At 50.4% G+C, this 19,184-nt stretch overlaps 1 long non-coding RNA gene across 1 annotated transcript in view; it reads left to right on the top strand.

The window, feature by feature from the left end:
* Window positions 1-18,294, top strand: part of KLF2-DT (KLF2 divergent transcript) — a 41,312-nt gene extending 23,018 nt beyond the window's left edge. The window contains exon 2 of the long non-coding RNA NR_186323.1: window positions 17,932-18,294. This is a non-coding gene — a long non-coding RNA (KLF2 divergent transcript). The remainder of the gene's footprint in view (window positions 1-17,931) is intronic.
* The last annotated feature ends 890 nt before the right edge of the window (window positions 18,295-19,184 follow it).

Below are 19,184 nucleotides of genomic sequence, written 5' to 3'. Positions count from 1 at the left end.
GTGATCCACCCGCCTCGGCCTCCCAAAGTGCTGGGCTTAGAGGTGTTGTGAGCCACTGAGCCTGGCTTTATTTTTTTATTTTTTGAGATGGAGTTTCATTCTTGTTGCCCAGGCTGGAGTGCAGTGGTGCGATCTCGGCTCACTGCAACCTCCGCCTCCTGGGTTCAAGCGATTCTCCTGCCTCAGCCTCCCGAGTAGCTGGGAGTGCCTGCCACCACATCCAGCTAATTTTTTTGTATTTTTAGTGGAGACAGGGTTTCACTATGTTGGCCAGGCTGATTTCTAACTCCTGACCTCAGGCGATCCGCTCGCCTCAGCCTCGCAAAGTGCTGGGATTACAGGCGTGAGCGGCCGTGCTCAGCCGTTTTTTTTGTTGTTGTTGTTGTTTTTTTTTTTTAAGACGGAGTCTCCTCTCTCTCTGTTGCCCAGGCTGAAGGGCAATGGCGTGATCTGGTTCAATGCAACGTCGGCCTCCTAGGCTCAAGCGATCCTCCCACCTCAGCCTCCCGAGTAGTTGGGAATACATTTGTGCACCACCACACCTGGCCAATTTTATTGGTATTTTTTGTAGAGATGGGGTTTTGGGATTACAGGCTAAAGCCCAGGAGTTTGAGACTAGTTGTCCAAATAACTAGTACCCAGCCTGTATGCATTGATTTTTGTTTTAAACAACAACAAAAAAATTAAGGTGAGCTGGGCTCAGTGGCTCGCGCCTGTTATCCCAGTATTTTGGGAGAGGGAGGCAGGGGAATCACTTGAAGACCAGGAGTTTGGGACCAGCCTGGGCAACATAGAGTGCCCTCTGCCCACCCCACCAAAAAATAAAAATAAATTAGCTAGGTGTGGTTGCTCACGCCTGTAGTCCCAGCTACTTGGGGGGCTGAGGCGGGAGATCCAGGCTGCAGTGAGCTGTGATGCCACTGTGTACACCCCCTGTGATGGCACGTGTAATATACAAAGGGGGACAGGATGATCACACCTCCAATGTCACTGGGGTGTGTACACGCCCCTGTAATAATATACAGGGTGGGACAGGATGATAGTATCCCCAATATCGCAGGGGGCGTGTACACCCCCTGTAATACCAGTCATAATATACAGGGCATGACAGGATGATAGTACCCCCAATATCGCAGGGGGCGTGTACACCCCCTGTAATAGCAGTCATAATATACAGGGCGTGACAGGATGATGGTACCCCCAATATCGCAGAGGGCGTGTACACCCCCCTGTAATACCAGTCATAATATACAGGGGGGACAGGATGATAGTATCCCCAATATCGCGGGGGGCGTGTACACCCCCCTGTAATACCAGTCATAATATAGATGGGGGGACAGGATGATAGTACTTCCAATATCGCAGGGGGCGTGTACACCCCCCTGTAATACCAGTCATACGGGGGGGACAGGATGATAGTACCCCCAATATCGCAGGGGGCGTGTACACCCCCCATAATACCAGTCATAATATACAGGGGGGGACAGGATGATAGTACCCCCAATATCGCAGGGGGCATGTACACCCCTCTGTGATACTGGTCATAATATCCAGGGGAGGACAGGATGATAGTATTCCCAATATTGTAGGGGGTGTGTACACCCTCAAGTGATATTGTGCGTCATATCAAAGGGGGGACAGAATGATGGTACCCCCAATGTTACAGGGAGTGTGTACACCCCCCTGTGATATCACACATAATATTAATAATTAGCAACCACACCTAGCTAATTTATTTTTATTTTTTGGTGGGGAGGGCAGAGGGCACTCCATGTTGCCCTGGTTGGTCCTGAACTCCTGGACTTCAAGTGATTCCCTTGCCTCCACCTCTCAAAATACTGGGATTACAGGTGTGAGCCACTGAGCCCAGGAAGTGACAAGATGATAGTACCCTCAATATCGCAGGGGGTGTGTAGGGTGTGTACACTTCCCCGTGATACCGTGTGTAATATTGAGGGGGGACTGGATATTATGAACAATATCACAGGGGGGTGGACACTCCCCACGATATTGGGAGTAATGTCATTCTTCTCTCCCCCCCTGGAGACTACGAACCATATCACAGGGTGTCCTGTACGGTACAGTGCCACTGTGCTCCAGCCCAGGCAACATAGTGAGACCCTGTCTCTAAAACAAAACAAAGACAACCCCCTGAATGGTAAAATAACATACATAACATTTATTAAAATTCATCTTAACCATTTTTTTTTTTTTTTGAGTCAGAGTCTCACTCTGTCGCCCAGGCTGGAGTGCAATGGAGTGATCTCGGCTCACTGTAACCTCCACCTCTTGGGTTCAAGTGATTCTCATCCCTCAGCCTCCCGAGTAGCTGGGATTACAGGTGTGCACCACCATGCCTGGCTAATTTTTGTATTTTTTTGTAGAGACGGGGTTTTGCCATGTTGCCCAGGCTGGTCTCAAACTCCTGGCCTCAAGCAATCCACACCCCTACTTGGCCTCCCAAAGTGTTGGGATTACAGGCGTGAGCACCTGGCCTCATCTTAACTCTTTTTAAGTGTACAATTCAGTGGCATTAAGTTTATTCATGATGTTGTGTAACGATTGCCACTTTTTATTTTTTGAGACAGGATCTCACTCTGTCACCCAGGCTGGAGTGCAGTGGTGCAATCTTGGCTCACTGCAGCCTCGACCCTCCCAGGCTCCAGTGATCCTCCCACCTCAGCCTCTTGAGTAGCAGGGACTACAAGCATGTACCACCACCTGCCTAATTTTTAAATTTCTTGTAGAGATGGGGTTTCACCATGCTGCCCAGGCTGGTCTTGAACTCGTGGGCTCAAGCGATCTGCCCCTCTCAGCCTCCCAAAGCGCTGAGATTCCAGGCATGAGCCACCGTGCCTGGCCACCATTGTCACTTTCTATTTCCAGAACTTCTTTATCATCCCAAACTGAAACTCTGTCCCTATTAGACCCAAACTCCCCATTCCTTCTCCTCTAGCCCCTCGTACCCACCATTCTACTTCCTGTCTCTATAAGTGTGACCACTCTAGAGACCTCCTATAAGTGAAATCAGACAGTAGTTGTCTTTTTGTGATGGGCTCATTTCACTTAGCATAATGTCCTCAAGCTTCAACCACAGTGTAGCATGAATCAGAATTTTATTCCTTTTTCCTGGCTGAATAATATTCCACTCTATGGCTACACTATATTTTGTGTATCCATTCATCTGTTGGTGGACGCTTTGGTTGTTTTCACTTGCCATCACGGTTTTTTTTTTTAAATTAAAAATTTTAAGGACTGGGCATGGTGGCTCACACCTGTAATCCCAGAACTTTGGAAGGCCAAGGTGGGCAGATCACCTGAGATCGGGAGTTTGAGACCAGCCTGCCCAACATGGAGAAACCCCGTCTCTACTAAAAATACAAAATTAGCTGGGCATGGTGGTGCATGCCTGTAATCCCAGCTACTTGGGAGGCTGAGGCAGGTGAATTGCTTGAACCTGGGAGATGGAGGTTGCAGTGAGCCAAGACTGCACACGCCATTGCACTCTAGTCTGGGCAACACGAATGAAACTCCGTCTCAAAAAAAAATTAAATTGTGGTTAAATATACATAACATAAAATTTGCCATTAGACTCAGGAGCAAAATTGATGGTTGAAAAAAAAATTACCATTAGATCCTCTTTCAAAGCACTCTCCTGATTAGGTCAGGCCCACCCAAGGTAAGCTCCCATTTGATGAACTCAAAATCAAATTATTTTGGACCTTAATTATATTGGTAAGGTTTTCTCACCTTTGCCTTAAAATGTCACCTTATCAAGGAAGTGACACCCTCACTGACTCACTAGTCACACCCAGACTTACGGGATTATAGCAGGTGTGTACGCAGACTGCCTGGAATCTTGGGAGCCTCTTAGAGTTCTGCCTGCACTGAACGCAGCCTCATTCCCTGCCCCTGGTTGGTTTTGGGCCAAGATGAGAGGATTGCTCAGGTGACCGGTGGGTGGAACTGGGTGGGGGTGAGGAGGCTGTGGGCCTGTCTCTCCCTTTCTCCTCGTCAGGGGCAACATGCTGCTCATTCCTTCCAAATAGAGACAATGGGCTGGGCGTGGTGGCTCACACCTGTAATCCCAGCACTTTGGGAGGCTGGGGCGGGTGGATCACAAGGTCAGGAGTTCGAGACCAGCCCAGCCAACATAGTGAAACCCTGTATCTACTAAAAATACAAAAATTAGTCGGCCGTGGTGGTGGGCACCTGTAGTCCCAGCTACTTGGGAGTCTAAGGAACAAGAATCGCCTGAACTGGGGAGGCAGAGGTTGCAGAGAACTGAGATCGCACCACTGCACTCCAGCCTGGGTGACAGAATGAGACTCCATCTCAAACACACACACACACACACACACACACACACACACACACACACACACACACACACACCATTCATGGTGAAGGTGAAACAATTTGTCTTCCAGGCTGGGATACTTGATGCCCCAAATAAGTGAGGCTCACCGGGACAGAATGAAGGAATCGCATTCACGTTGAAAGTCTTCTGTCCCCATGCACAAAGAAGGGTATGTCTGTGCACTTTTGAGGACTTTCAGAGATGATTGGCCATTGGCTTTTGTCCTCATCAGGTTCAAAGAGGACCACTTGGAAAGGTTTTACAAAGCGCTGGCTGCCCAGCTGCCCGGGCCATTTACCAGGCTTGTCCATCTGTTGCCACAAAGGGTTTTGCCCCAGACAATCTGACGGCTTTGTCTTGTGACTCACTGTGTCCCAGGCACCAAGAGGCCATGTACAAAAGGTGGGGTGGCCGTCCAGAGAGGCAGCTCCCAGACACACCTTGGCCTGGTGGGTACTGAGTCACCAGCGAAGCCAGCAGGCAGTGGGGACCATCACCACCTTCAAGGGGCGGGTCCCTGTGGGTTCCCACGAGGTTTTACAGCCCCCTTTGGGGACAAACCTGGCTGCTGAGATGTATCCCATTTTGTCCCAGCTTGGGGACCTCGGGCAAGTCACGGAGGCTGCATTTTCTATTCTTTTTCTTTTTTTTTGAGAAGAAGTTTCGCTCTTATTGCCCAGGCTGGTGTGCAATGGTGCCATCTCGGCTCACCGCAACCTCTGCCTCCCGGGTTCAAGCGATTCTCCTGCTTCAGCCTCCCAAGGAGCTGGGATTACAGGCATGTGCCACCACGCCCGGCTAATTTTGTAATTTTAGTAGAGATGGCGTTTCTCCATGTTGGTCAGGCTGGTCTCGAACTCCTGACCTCAGGTGATCAGCCAGCCTCAGCCTCCCAAAGTGTTGGGATTACAGGCATGAGCCACTGCACAGGCTGGAGGCTGCATTTTCACACCTGCTCATCCTGGACTGGGAAGTGGCCCTGTGAACACTGGTCCAATCAAATCACGCGCTGGGACCTCTTTCTACCACCATCCACTCCTCCTTGATCTTTGAGACCAGGACAGAGCCTTATCCCTCGTCTGTGGACTCCCTCTGCTTACCCTGCTGCACAGCCAGAGTCAGAACTGATTGGTTTTTCTTTCCAGACACAGCAGGGGTTCTCTGGGGCATGGGGCTTCTGGGATTCCAACCACCTGCATGGATCGACCGTGGCTGGAAGTTTCTGCAGCAGCATCTTACTTGGTTTGCGTCTCCTCCACTTGGCCTCCTGGTCCAGAGTGGCGGGGGTCTCTGTCCTCGTTGCCTTTTTAGGGTCTGGCATGCAACAGGTGCTCAATAAATGCCTGTTTGATCTTTTCTTTTTTAAATTTAAGACAGAGTCTCACTCTGTCGCCCACGCTGGAGTGCAGTGGCGTGATCTCAGCTCACTGCAACCTCCACCTCCCAGGTTCAAGAAATTCTCGGCCAGGCGCGATGGTTCACACCTGTAATCCCAGCATTTTGGGAGGCTGAGGCAGGCGGATCACGAGGTCAGGAGATCAAGACCATCCTGGCCAACACAGTGAAACCCTGTCTCTACTAAAAATACAAAAAATTAGCCAGGCGTGGTGGTGGGCACCTGTAGTCCCAGCTACACGGAAGGCTTAGGTAGGAGAATCACTTGAACCCAGGAGGAGGAGGTTGCAGTGAGCCGAGATTGCGCCATTGCACTCCAGCCTGGGCAACAGAGCAAGACTCCGTCTCAAAAAAAAAAAGAAGTCTCCCACCTCACCCCCTCAAGTAGCTTGGACTACAGGCATTCGCCACCACGCCCGGCTAATTTTTTGTATTTTTGGTAGAGACGGGGTTTCACTATGTTGTCCAGGCTGGTCTCTAACTCCTGGGTTCAAGTGATCCACTGGCCTTGGCCTCCCAAAGTGGTGGGATTACAGGCGTGAGCCACCACACCCAGCCTTGATCTTTTCCAATGAAGACAGAACTGCATGCCGCACAGCGCGATCATCTCGAGTGTACACGCTGGATTCTGCTGGCAGGATCAGTTCCCTGGATCCAGACACAGGAATGTCTAGTGCCTGCAAAGCCTCCCTCTCCGCGCAACTCCAAGCTCTGTCGCTGGAGAGGAGTTTTGCCTAATTTCCCTAAAGTGGAATCACAGTGATGCTCCTCCTCCTCCCCCTCCCCCTCCCCCTCCTCTTTTTTTTTTTTTTTTTTCGAGTTGGGGTCTCACTCCTCTCGCCCAAGCAGGAGTGCAGTTGGTGCAATCACAGCTCATTGCAGCCTCGACCTCCCGGGCTCAAGTGATCCTCCTGCCCTACTTTTAAATTTTTTGTAGAGACGAGGTCTCACTGTGTTGCCTAGGCTAGTCTTGAACTCCTGGGCCCAGGAGATCCTCCTGCCTCAGCCTCCCAAAATGCTGGGATTATAGGTGTGAGCCACCATGGCTGGCCCGTTTTCATTGTTCAGCATCACGTCCACTCAGTTCCTTCATGTTCTGCATGTAGTCGGTGCTTGTTCTTGTTCTTTTTCTTTTTCCTTTTTTTTTTTTTTTTGAGACAGAGTTTCCCTCTTTGCCCAGGCTGGAGTGCAGTGGTGCGATCTTGGCTCATTGCAACGTCTGCCTCCCGGGTTCAAGCGATTCTTCGGCCTCAGCCTCCTGAGTAGCTGGGATTACAGGCACTCGCCACCATGCCCGGCTAATTCTTGTATTTTTAGTAGAGACGGGGTTTCGCCATGTTGGCCAGGCTGGTCTCGAACTTTTGACTTCCAGTAATCCGCCCGCCTCGGCCTCCCAAAGTGCTGGGATTACAGGCATGAACCACTGCGCCCGGCCGAGGGACAGGGATCTTTAAGGGAAATCCCGTGGCAGCAGACAGATTTCACTTTAGGCTTTCTCTGTGTGGTTTATCCCTGAATCACATTCCACCTCCTCTCTCTGCACTTTGGGTTTTGTTTTCTGCAAAATGGGAGAAGACATTAGGAACCAAATAGAGCCCCCAAGGGCCCTAGGAGGGTGGAGGAGATGCTGCTAGAAAGTGTCTACACCCTCCTGTTGAGGCTTGGTGTGGTGGCTCACACCTGTCATCTCAGTACTTCGGAAGGCCGAGGTGGGAGGATCACGTAAGGCCAGGCGTTCTAGACCAGCCTGGGCAACATAGCAAAACCCCTCCCCCCATCTCTACAAAAACTTAAAACAAAAACAAAAACAACAAAACTTAGCTGAGCCGGGTGGCATGTGCCTACTTAGGAGGCTGAGGGTGGGAGGATCCCTTGAGCCTGGGGGGTTGAAGCTGCAGTGAGTTATGATTGCACCACTGCACTCCAGCCTGGGTGACACAGCAAGACCTTGTCTCTAAAAAAATTAACACACGAGCAAGCAAATAAGTAAATAAAATCCTGGCACACCACCAGTGACCCAAGGGTGCGCCAGGGTCTCAGGCTGGAGGAATCTATTCCACAGGACCTCTGTGATGCTTTACGAGAACCTGGCCTTGCCAACATATTTCAAATACGCAGTTGGCCTCCCAGCTGCGGTCCACACCGCCCTTATCACTTTCATGGGGGAGTCGGGGATTCTTGCCAAAGGCTGACTTTCCCTTCTCACGACTTTATTGCTACTCAGAGCCTCTGCAGCTGGGGAGGCCCGTCTAGTTGTTTCCAGGGGCTGATTGCATAAACTCTGTGTAACGTAAGCCCTGTGTCGATTTTTGGAAAACTCCCTTTTTTTCTCCCTGCCTTTAGAAGATTTTTCCAGCATCACCCAAACACCCGGCCACGGGAGGGGGTGGAGAGGTTGCTGTTTACAATTCTAGGTGAGAACAGTGTGTCTGAATTTCAGGGCGAGATGTGTGTGAGCGCCTTCGATTGTGGAAAAACAAATGTGATTTGAGGGGAAAAAAAAAAGAAGAGGGAAAATGAAACGGAAAACAACTGCTTGCTGAGTGGGAACTTTGAGGCGCGGCCCGGATAGTATGATTTCTGACGACTCGAGAAGGAATGTTCTGGAATATTTTGGGAGTTTTTTTGTGCTTCTGGCAGGCTGACAGCTCGTGTCCCCCCCACTCCCACCTCCAACCCCGCACTCCACGTCACTCCAGTCATTCTGGACAAGCTCCCAAGACAAACGGCTTCTCTTCTTTCCATGGGTTGCAGACATATGTCCCCAAGCACTTAAAAATAGCCGCCCGTTTACTGCAGACCTGACTTTAAACAATCAGGTTTTTCTTAAGACGTAAAAAACTTTTCCACTGAAAGGGCAGTTTTTGAAACTATGTGTAGTGAGAGGGAGTTTTCCTTCTTTTTTTTTTTTTTTTCCCTTTCCTCAGGAATAAATGTGAAGGTCTTGAGTCCAAAATGGCCAGCTTGGCTAGGCGCGGTGACTCATGCCCATCATCCCAGCACTTTGGGAGGCCGAAGCAGGAGGATCGCTTGAGCTCAAGAGTTTGAGACCAGCTTGACAAACATGGTAAAATTCTGTCTCTACTAAAAATACAAAAATTAGCTGGACGTGGTGGCGGGTGCCTATAACCCCAGCTACTCGGGAGGCTGAGGCAGGAGAATTGCTTGAACCCGGGAGGCAGAGGTTACAGTGAGCCAAGATTGCGCCACTGTACTCCAGCCTGGGCAACAGAGCAACACTCTGTCTCAAATAATAATAATAATAATAATAATAATAATAATAATAACAACAAATAAATAAATAAATAAATAAAATGGCCAGCTTGGCCAGGCGCGGTGGCTCACACCTGTAATCCCAGCACTTTGGGAGGCCGAGGCAGGAGGATTGCTTGAGCCCAGGGGTTCAAGACCAGCCTGGGCAACATAGTGAGAATTTGTCTCTACTAAAGATAATAATAACAAAAGTCAATCTATCAATGAAATGGCCAGCTGTGTTTTTTCAGGCTCATGCTCACACGTGTGTGTGTGTGTGTGTGTGTGTGTTTGAGAGTTTGTGGAGCATCAGGCTGACAGGGGAGAAGAAAACTGTTTATTGAAAACCCAGTATATGCCAGGCCCTGCATGGATCCTCCTTAGTTTTTGGGACTCGGAGAGCCAGTAATATTTCCACCACTCTATAGTGATGTGCTGGAGGAGGAAAACTGAGGCACGGTTGATCCTTGGCTGAGCCACGATTTAAACTGATTTCACAGGCTTTGATCTGGACCCAGGATTGTTCCCCTGTGTGAGCTTCAGAGGGGTTCATGGACCCCCTGAAACTAAATGTAAGTTGCAGGCACTTTATCTACAAAGAAAAGTATCTATAGCTTACACCCCACAGAGCCCAGAGCATCAAAAAGATACAAAATCAAGCTGGGAACGGGGGCTCATGTCTGCACTCCCAGCACTTTGGGAGGCTGAGATGAGAGGATTACTTGAGACCAGGAGTTCAAGGTCAGCCTGGGCAACATAGCAGGATCCCATCTCTACAAAAATAAAAAATAAAAATAAAATTAAAAAAAAAAAGCTAAGTGGCTAAGTATGGTGGCATGCACCTGTAATCCCAGCTACTCAGGAGGCTGAAGGCGGAAGATCACGTGAGCCCAGAAGTTCGAGGCTGCAGTGAGCTACAATTGCATCATTGTACTCCAGCCTGGGCAACAGAATGAGACCCTGTCTCTTAAAAAAAAAAATCACTGTCCCCACAAAAGTTTTTTAGAGAACAATAGCCTAGAGCTCGGTCAAGTTGTTTCTCTTTTCTCAGCCTCAGTTTTGTCATCTGAGAAATGGGTTGTATCTCCCGGTACATGCTGGATATGGGATCCTCTGTCCCTCCTAACATTCAAAAACATACAGTGTGGCCGGACGTGGTGGCTTATGCCTGTAATCCCAGCACTTTGGGAGGCCAAGGCGGGCAGATCACCTGAGCTCAGATGTTCGAGACCAGCCTGGCCAACATGGTGAAACCCTATCTTTACTAAAAATATAAAAATTAGCTGGGTGTGGTGGCACGTGCCTGTAATCACAGCTACTTGGGAGGCTGAGGTAGGAGAATCGCCTGAACCCGGGAGGTGGAGGTTGCAGTGAGCCAAGATTGCACCACTACCCTCCAGCCTGGGCGACAGAGTGAGACTCTGTCTCAAAAAAAAAAAAAAAGGCTATTTTTTTGTGGGCTCTTAAACATTCCAGGGCCCTGGGCCTTGTATGTGTGATGGATCGGTGGGCCCTGGACAAAGCGTCCCTGGGGGAACAGAACAGCAATGGACGGCAGGGGTTTCCTCACTTAGAATCCTCTGACATCCCCCAGGCATCCTGTGTTGGGCCCGGAGCCGGGTTCTGGGAAAAATCGAGGGGGAGAAATGTTACCTGCACTGGCTGACTTACCCCTGGCAGGGTTGCTTCCAGCTGCACCGACTCTGTTTGAATACGAGGAAGCGTGAATCAGACCTCGGTGGCCCAGGAGGCAGGGCTGAGGGAGGCATGTTTTCATAGAGCGGTGATTCTATGCTCACCCCATGCTCACTAGCCTTTCCGGCGGCCTGGGGTTGGGGACCAATTTAGATCATGTGTCATCTGACAAAAGTGGACCTTCAAAGACTTCCCAGGTTCTGAACCAATTCTTTGTCACCAGACTTGTCTTGGGGAATGGTGGAGAATTGGAGACATCTACTTGGTGGATTGAGTCCCAGCAGGTGGGCAACATAGCAAGAGCTCATCTCTACAAAAAAATACAAAAATTAGCCAGGCATAAGAGCATGCACCTGTGGTTCCAGCTACCTGGGAGGCTGAGGTGGGAGGATGGCTTGAACCCAGGAGGTCGAGGCTGCAGTGAGTCCAGATCACCACCATTGCACTCCAGCCTGGGTGACAGGCTGGATGGGTGGATGGGTGACTTGGGGTCTGAAATACCTAGCATCAGCCGGGCGTGGTGGCTCACACCTGTAATGCCAGCATTTTAGGAGGCTGAGGTGGGGGGATCACGAGGTCAGGAGATCAAGACCTTCCTGGCTAACATGGTGAAACCCCGTCTCTACTAAAAATACAAAAAATTAGCCAGGCATGGTGACACATGCCTGGAGTTCCAGCTACTTGGGAGGCTGAGGCAGGAGAATCGCTTGAACCCAGGAGGCGGAGGTTGCAGTGAGCCAAGATCGCACCACTGCACTCCAGCCTGGGCGACAGAGCAAGACTCTGTGTCAAAAGAAACAAACAAACAAACAGAAAACCTAGCATCCCCTTCAATTTCTGCCTGTCTGTGAGAACCAACTGTTACAAAGGCTGCTTACCAGGTTTTGCAAGTAAAACGCAGGACACTCCATTAAATTGGAATTTCAGATAAACAACAAGTTTTTTTTTTAGTAGAAGTATATCTCGAATAGTGCATGGAATGGGATATACTTATACTAAAAAAAAGAATTCATTGTTTATCTGATGTTCGCATTTGAGTAGGGCGTCCTGTGTTTAATCTGTCAACCCTACCTGGGTTGGGGGTGGGGTAGGGGAACAATGATTTTCATTTGAGCTGCCAGGCCACAGCTGGGGCCTTTTCTGACATCATCTCCTTACATTGTCACCACGGCTGATGTACAGATAAGGAAGGTGAGAGCTGAAAGAGCTGGTGCAGTTTGAGGATTGTTCCTGGGGGCCGCCATCAGGGAGTTGGGGGAGCTGTGGACAGCAGGTGCGTCCGAGGGAGTGTGGATAATTCAGCCTTAATTCTGCCAGGGCCAAAATCAGGAGGGTTCCTCAAAAAGTGAAACATAGAATAAAAAAATTAGCCAGGAGTGGTGGCATGCACCTGTTGTCCCAGCTACTTGGGAGGCTGAGGCGGGAAGATGGCTTGAACCCAGGAGGTTGAAGCTGCAGTGAGCCATGATTGCACCACTGCGCTCCAGCATGGGTGACAGAGCAAGACCCTGTCTCAATAAAAAAGAAAAAAGTGCAACATAGAATTACCTTATAACATATCATGGCCGGGTGCGGTGGCTCGCGCCTGTAATCTCAGCACTTTGGGAGGCTGAGGCAGTCGGATCGCTTGAGGTAAAGAGTTCAAGACCAGCCTGGACAACACAATGAAATTCCATCTCTCCTAAAAATACAAGAAAACTAGCTGGATGTGATAGTGTGCACCTGTAAGTCCCAGCTACTCGGGAGGCTGAGGCAGGAGAATTGCTTGAACCCGGGAGGCAGAGGTTGCAGTGAGCCAAGATTGCACTACTGCACTCCAGCCTGGGCAACAGAGTAAGACTCCATCTCAAAAATAAATAAATAAAATAAAAAAATTACCATATACCATAGCAGCTCCACCCTGAAGTGGTAACTCATATACTCAAAAGGATTTTGGTATTCGTTGGTGTATTCTTGGGGAATATCCCCAAAAGAATTGAAGGTGGGTGTTCACACAAAGATGTGTGCATGCATGTTCACAGCAGCACTGTTCACAACGGCCAAAAGGTGGAAGCAACTTGGGTGTCTGTCAACGAATGAACAGATAAACAAAACGTGGTCCATCCAGCAATGGAATATTACGCAGCTGTGAAAAGGAATGAAGCACTGCTCCATGCTACAACGTGGATGAACTCCAAAAATATGCTGAGTGAGAGAAGCCAGACACAAAAGGCCACATGGTGTATGATTTCATTGATATGAAATGCCCTGAACAGGCAAATCCGTAGAGACAGGAAGCAGATTAGTGGCTGCCTGGGGTGGGGGAAGGGAAATGGGGAGTGACTGCTGACGGGGACAGGGCTTTTCTTTTTTCTTTTTTTTGAGACAGAGTCTCCCTCTGTTGCCCAGGCTGGAATGCAGTGGCGCGATCTCGGCTCACTGCAGCCTTCGTCTCCTGAGTTCAAGAGATTCTCCTGCCTCAGCTTCCTGAGCAGCTGGGATTACAGGCACCTGTCACCAAACCCGGCTAATTTTTTTGTATTTTTAGGAGAGACAGGGTTTCACCATGTTGGTCAGGCTGGTCTCAAACTCCTGACCTCGTGATCCACCCGCCTCGGCCTCTCAAAGTGCTAGGATTACAGGCGTGAGCCACCGTGCCCCGCTGGGACAGGGTTTCTTTTTGGACTGATGGAATGTTCTGAAGTAGATACTAGTGGTGGTTGAACAACCTTGTGAACGTGCTGAATGCCACCATATTGCACACCTTACGATGGATAAACTTTATGTTACATGTATTTTACCACAATTTAAAAAAGGTCAGGCATGGTGGCTCACACCTGTAATCCCAGCACTTTGGGAGGCCAAGGCAGGTGGATCACTTGAGGTCAGGAGTTTGAGACTAGCTTGGCCAACATGGTGAAATCTCGTCTCTACTAAAAATATAAAAATTAGCTGGGCATGGTGGCATGTGCCTGTAGTCCCAGCTCCTCGGGAGGCTGAGGCAGCAGAATTGCTTGAACCTGGGAGGGAGAGGTTGCAGTGAGCCGAGATTGCACCACTGGACTCCAGCCTGGGTGACAGAGTGAGGCTCTGTCTCCAAAAAAAAAAAAAAAAAAAGGCCAGGTTCAGGCAGCCTCCCCTGTTGGCCTGGTTGCAAGACTGCCCCTCTCTAAGCCTGCGTTCCTCCGTAAGGTGGGGTAGGGGCAGTGCCTTCCCTTAGCACAGGGATGTCCCCAGAGCATCAGCAGGTGTGCTATTGGCCGTGGGCTGCTCTTTATTGAGACCAACCCCCTGGGAGTTCATGGTCACCCAGGACAGCTTGGCAGGAGCTCCAAGTCCCTTCCCAGAGAGGTCCGGACATCTATTTATTTAATTAAGAAAATCTAGTTGCAAAGAGTGCACAGCCTTCTTCTAAAAGCTTTGAATGAGACCAGAAGTCAGGGTCTCCCTGCTGGGACATGGAGACCGAGGGGCGGCTCTGAACACACAGCGTGCCTTGGAGTTGGAGGGTCGACTGTGGGACGGGCAGCCACTCAGTCCGCAGTCTTTTCCCCATGAAAGGAATGGAGGCCGTAGGGCCACCCTTCTTGTTCTTGGGGTATGGGGTGCTCGCCCTGCCCAGGCACAGCTGCGGAAACACAATGTATACCCTGGGAGAGACGTGGAGGGTCAGAGAGAGAGTCAGAGATAGAGGAGATAAAGAGAGACAGAGAGGGAGAGACAGAGACAAGGAAAGAGAGGGAGAGAGATATATAGAGAGAAACGGAGACACAGAGAGAAAGAGCAAGAGATGGAGAAAGAGGGGTAGAGACAGAGAGACGAGGGAAGAGAGTCAGACACAGAGAGAGAAGGGGGAGAGACTCATGCCGGAGAGACTCACATGAGAGAGACAGATACAGAGACACACAGAGAGACAGAGAAGAAGAAAGTCAGAGACAGAGAGAGAAACACACACAGAGAGAGACAGAGAGACAGAAAAGAGTCACAGACCCAGAGAGACAGAGAAGAAGAAAGTCAGAGACAGAGAGAGAAACACATAGAGAGACAGAGAGACAGAAAAGAGTCACAGACCCAGAGAGACAGAGAGAGAGGGAGAGAGAGACTCAGAGAGAGAGAGAGAGACCCAGAGAGAGAGAGTGAGACCCCCCCACACAGAGAGACACACAGAGAGAGGGAGGGACAGAGAACAGGATGGAGAGAGGCAGGCAGGGCAGGACCCTGGGACTGGTTGATGGAATTCCAGCTCCTGCGACTTTGGAACAAAAGCCCCCTATGAAGTGAAAGCCACCATTGGACAGATGAGGAAACCGAGGCCCGAGGTCCCTGCCTCCACACCCCATGGCCCAGGGCTGCAGACACTGCTCCCCGCAGAGACCCTAACCACCGGCCACAGCCCTTGGCCTCTCCAACACCCGCCATCCTCTCTCCCCTCAAGTCCCCCGCTGCTGCTGGCCCATAACAACTCCCCTTTGGCCAGTTAAAAATAGCCCACGTCAGAGCCCATGGAGGACGCTGATGACTCCTGAAAGGGGCTTCGGAGCCAAGGCGGCCTCGATCTGCAGGCCGCAGTCTGGGACGGCGCTAATTGTGGCAACAAGCAGCGTACAAAGGCGCCCTTCAGGGGAGCTGGCACTGCGGGCTCAGATTTCTGGAGAGCAAATATGTCTTTCATTTCCCTGAGCCCCACCGGGGCTCTGCCCTAACGGCAGAAGAACACGCCTCCCTGGAAGGGAACAGGATCTTGTTTTGGGGGGCAGGGAGCCCCAGCGCCCCTGTGAACAGCAGGAAGCCAGCCATCGGCACCTAGGACAGTCCCCAGCATGCCTGGAGCAGCCCCTGGTATAAAGCCAGTCGGGAAGCTTTCTTTCCTGTTCAGTTTGGTGAAAGCCCTTGTGTAAGGTTGGTGCAAACGTAATTGCTTAAAAGTCATGGCAAAAACCGCAATTACGTTTGCACCAACCTATCAAAGTGATGCTCTCTCTTCCTTAGATGTTTAGGGGAAATTTACCAGGGACGCCATCCAGACCTGGAGTTTTCTTTGTAGAAAGGCTTTTGTTTGTTTAGAGACAGGGTTTCACTCTGTCGCCCAGGCTGGAGTGCAGTGGCACAATCATAGCTCACTGCAGCCTTGACCTCCTAGGCTCAAGTAATCCTCCCACCTCAGCCTCCCAAGTAGCTGGGACTGGTTGATGGAATTCCACCTCCTGCGACTTTGGAACAAAAGCCCCCTATGAAGTGAAAGCCACCATTGAAACCCACCATGTCTGGCTAATTTTAAAATGTTTTTGTAGAGATGGGGTCTCACTGTGTTGCCCAGGCTGGTCTCAAACTCCCGAGGTTAAGTGAGTCTCCTACCTCAGTCTCCCAAAGTGCTGAGATTATAGGCACAAGCCACCAAGCCCAGCTAATTTTTATATTTTTTGTAGAGATGGGATCTTGCTATGTTGCCTAGGCTAGTCTTGAACTCCTGGCCTCATGTGATCCTCCTGCCTTGGGCTCTCAAAGTGCTGGGATTACAGGCACCCACCACAATGCCTGGCCTGTAGGAAGTTCTTTTTACAACAATGTTGATTTATCCCATAGACACAGGGATATTCGGGTGATCTATTTCTCCTCCTCCTCCTTCTCCTCCTTCTTCCTCCTCCTCCTCCTCCTTCTTCCTCCTCCTCTTCTTCTTTCTACTTTCTTCTTCCTCTTATTCCTCCTCTTCCTCCCCTTCCCCTTCTCTTTCTTCTTCCTCTTATTCCTCCTCTTCTTCCCCTTCCCCTTCTCTTTCTTCTTCTTTCTTTTCTGTTTTTTTGAGACAGAGTCTCACTCTGTTGTCCAGGCTGGAGTACAATGGCACGATCTCAGCTCACTGCAACCTCCACCTCCGGGGTTCAAGCAATTCTCCTGCCGCAGCCTCCTGAGTAGCTGGGATTACAGTGGCCGCCACCATGGCCAGCTAATTTTTGTTGTTTAGTAAAGACGGGGTTTCACCATGTTGGCCAGCCTGGTCTCAAACTCCTGACCTCAGGTGATCCGCCTGCCTCGGCCTCCCAAAGTGCTGGGATTACAGCACGAGCCATCGCGCCCGGCCGATCTATTTGTTCTTAAGTAAGCTTTGGTAATTTGTGTCTTTCAAGGAATGTGTCCATTTCATCCCTGTCACTGAATATTTTGGCATCGAGATGTTTATAACATGTCCTTGTGATCCTTTTTGTATGTGTTGAATCTGTTGTGGGGTCACCTAGGCTTGGAAGCCTCAAACCCTGGCATTGACCCCAGACACAGGCTTTTGCTCTTCTTGCTGTCTGGGCAGCTGTTCCGATGGCAATGACAACTCTAAAAATCTGCTTGTGGCCAGGCGCAGTGGCTCATGTCTGTAATCCCAGGACTTTGGGAGGCCGAGATGGGGGGATCTCTTGAGCCCAGGAGTTCGAGACCAGCCAGGGCAATATAGTGATACCTTGTCTTAACTGAAATTCAAAAGAAAACTAGCCAGGCGTGGTGGCGTGCATCTGTGGTCCCAGATACTTGGGAGGCTGAGGAGGGAGGATCACTTGAGCCTGGGAGGTTGAGGCTGCAGAGAGCCGTGATCTTGCCACTGCACTCCAGCCTGGGTGACAGAGTGAGACCCTGTCTCAAAACAAAACAAAACAAAACAAAACAAAATCTGCTTATGAAAGGGCAGACATCCATTTCCCAGGTCACACCCTCCTAACTCCCAAAGCTTAACTTCTGTGTTTAGTGCTTACAACAGCATAGGAGCTATTGTTAGTTCCATTCTACAGATGGAGAAACTGAGTCCCAGCGTTAGGTGGCAGAGCCGGGATTTGAACCCTGGCTGCCAGCGCCCCCCAGCCTGGGTGCGCTACATCGTCACTGCCAGGCACAGCCAAAATCACGGCCCAACCTATCTGGGTGGCGGCGGGGGGCAGGGATTCCTCTACCCTGACAGCAGCTTGAGGTTACGTTCTTTGCTGGAGAAAAGCGTTTTGAAACAGAAACGCCCACGGTGTCCCTGACGCTGAGTTGTGGAAGTGAGGCCGACTTGGGGCTCTGAACTTGGCTGGTGTCTTCCCCAGCCAGGGGCCCAGAGGCGGGGGTTTGGCCTTCCCGAGGCCCCAAACCACCTGCTCGGCCCTGCGTCCAGCCGGCCGGCGCCCGAGTGAGCGAACAAGGGGACCCTCCGCTGTCTTTATATACCGGAGTTATTTTTAACCATCGCCTCCCAGAACATTACGGAGCTTCCTCTCTCCAACACGCAGGAAACCCTACTTGGCTGTGCTTCCTGCTAACACGAGGCCCTGCGATTGCTGAGAACAACAGCCCCGAGACTGCGCGGCTCCGGGGGGAAAAAAACCTGGCCCCCTTTCAAGCCTTGACAGAAAACCTTTCAGAGCCCTGAACTCCCACCAGCCCGAGGACGGCTCCGATAGCTCTGACAAATGAGCCGGGACTGTGCCCAGGGCTCCCAGGCTGGGAGGGGACCCCGGCTCCCTTGTTCCTTCCTAAGGTCGGAAAAAAAAGCGCGTGTCCCTTCCTCCACCACAGAGGAACAGAGAAGTGTTTGCATTGGTGGATTTTTAAATACTTGTTTATTTTTATTAAAGTGCAATTCACATGAAATTAACCATTTTTAAAGTAGTGGCATTTTATACATGCAGTGTTGTGCAACCGCCACCTCTACTTAGTTCCAGAATATTTTCATCACCTTAAAGGGATACCCTGTCCCCATTACCAGTCACTTCCCATTTCTCCACCCCCAGTCCCTGGCAAACACCAATCTGTTTTCTGGCCCTATGGATTTGCCTCTGTGGGCATCTCACATAGATAGGATTGTACAATATGTGGCCTTTTATGTCTGGTTTCTTTTACTCTAGGTAATATTTTCTTTTTTTTTTTAATTTCTTTTTTCTTTTCTTTCTTTTTTTTTTTTTTTGAGACAGAGTTTCACTCTTCTTGCCTAGGCTGCAGTGCAATGGCACGATCTCGGCTCACTGCAGCCTTGACCTCTGGGGTTCAAGCGATCCTCCTGCCTCAGCCCTGCACCATGTGCCACCATGCCCAACTAATTTTCCTATTTTTAGTACAGACAGGGTTTCACCATGTTGGCCAGGCTGATCTGGAACTCCTGACCTCAGGTGATCCACCTGCCTCGGCCTCCCAAAGTGCTGGGATTACAGGCATAAGCCACCGCACCCGGCCCAACTTCCAGTTTCTTCTTTCTGCCCACTCCCTCTCCACGTGGCTCATCAAAGTGTGGAGTTTGTTTCATGGTGGTTACAGCACAACCCCTCCCCATCCACCTGTGCATCCACTCATTCGTTCCTTTAAACATTTATTCAATCAATCCTTCCCCATCCCTGGGGCGCCTGGCACTTGGCCTGCTGCTGCCACCTAGACCCCAGGCTCATCGTCGCTAGAGCAACCCCACCTCCCTTCCTGGAGCAGGTGCGTCCTCACCCAGATTTGCCTTATTAGCAAATCCCCTGTGATTCTGGGTTCCACCCGGCCCTCG

Source organism: Homo sapiens, chromosome 19 (genome assembly GCF_000001405.40).
Source record: "Homo sapiens chromosome 19, GRCh38.p14 Primary Assembly".
NCBI classification, from domain to species: domain Eukaryota; kingdom Metazoa; phylum Chordata; class Mammalia; order Primates; family Hominidae; genus Homo; species Homo sapiens.
This window is presented reverse-complemented; position numbering and strand designations above follow the sequence as displayed.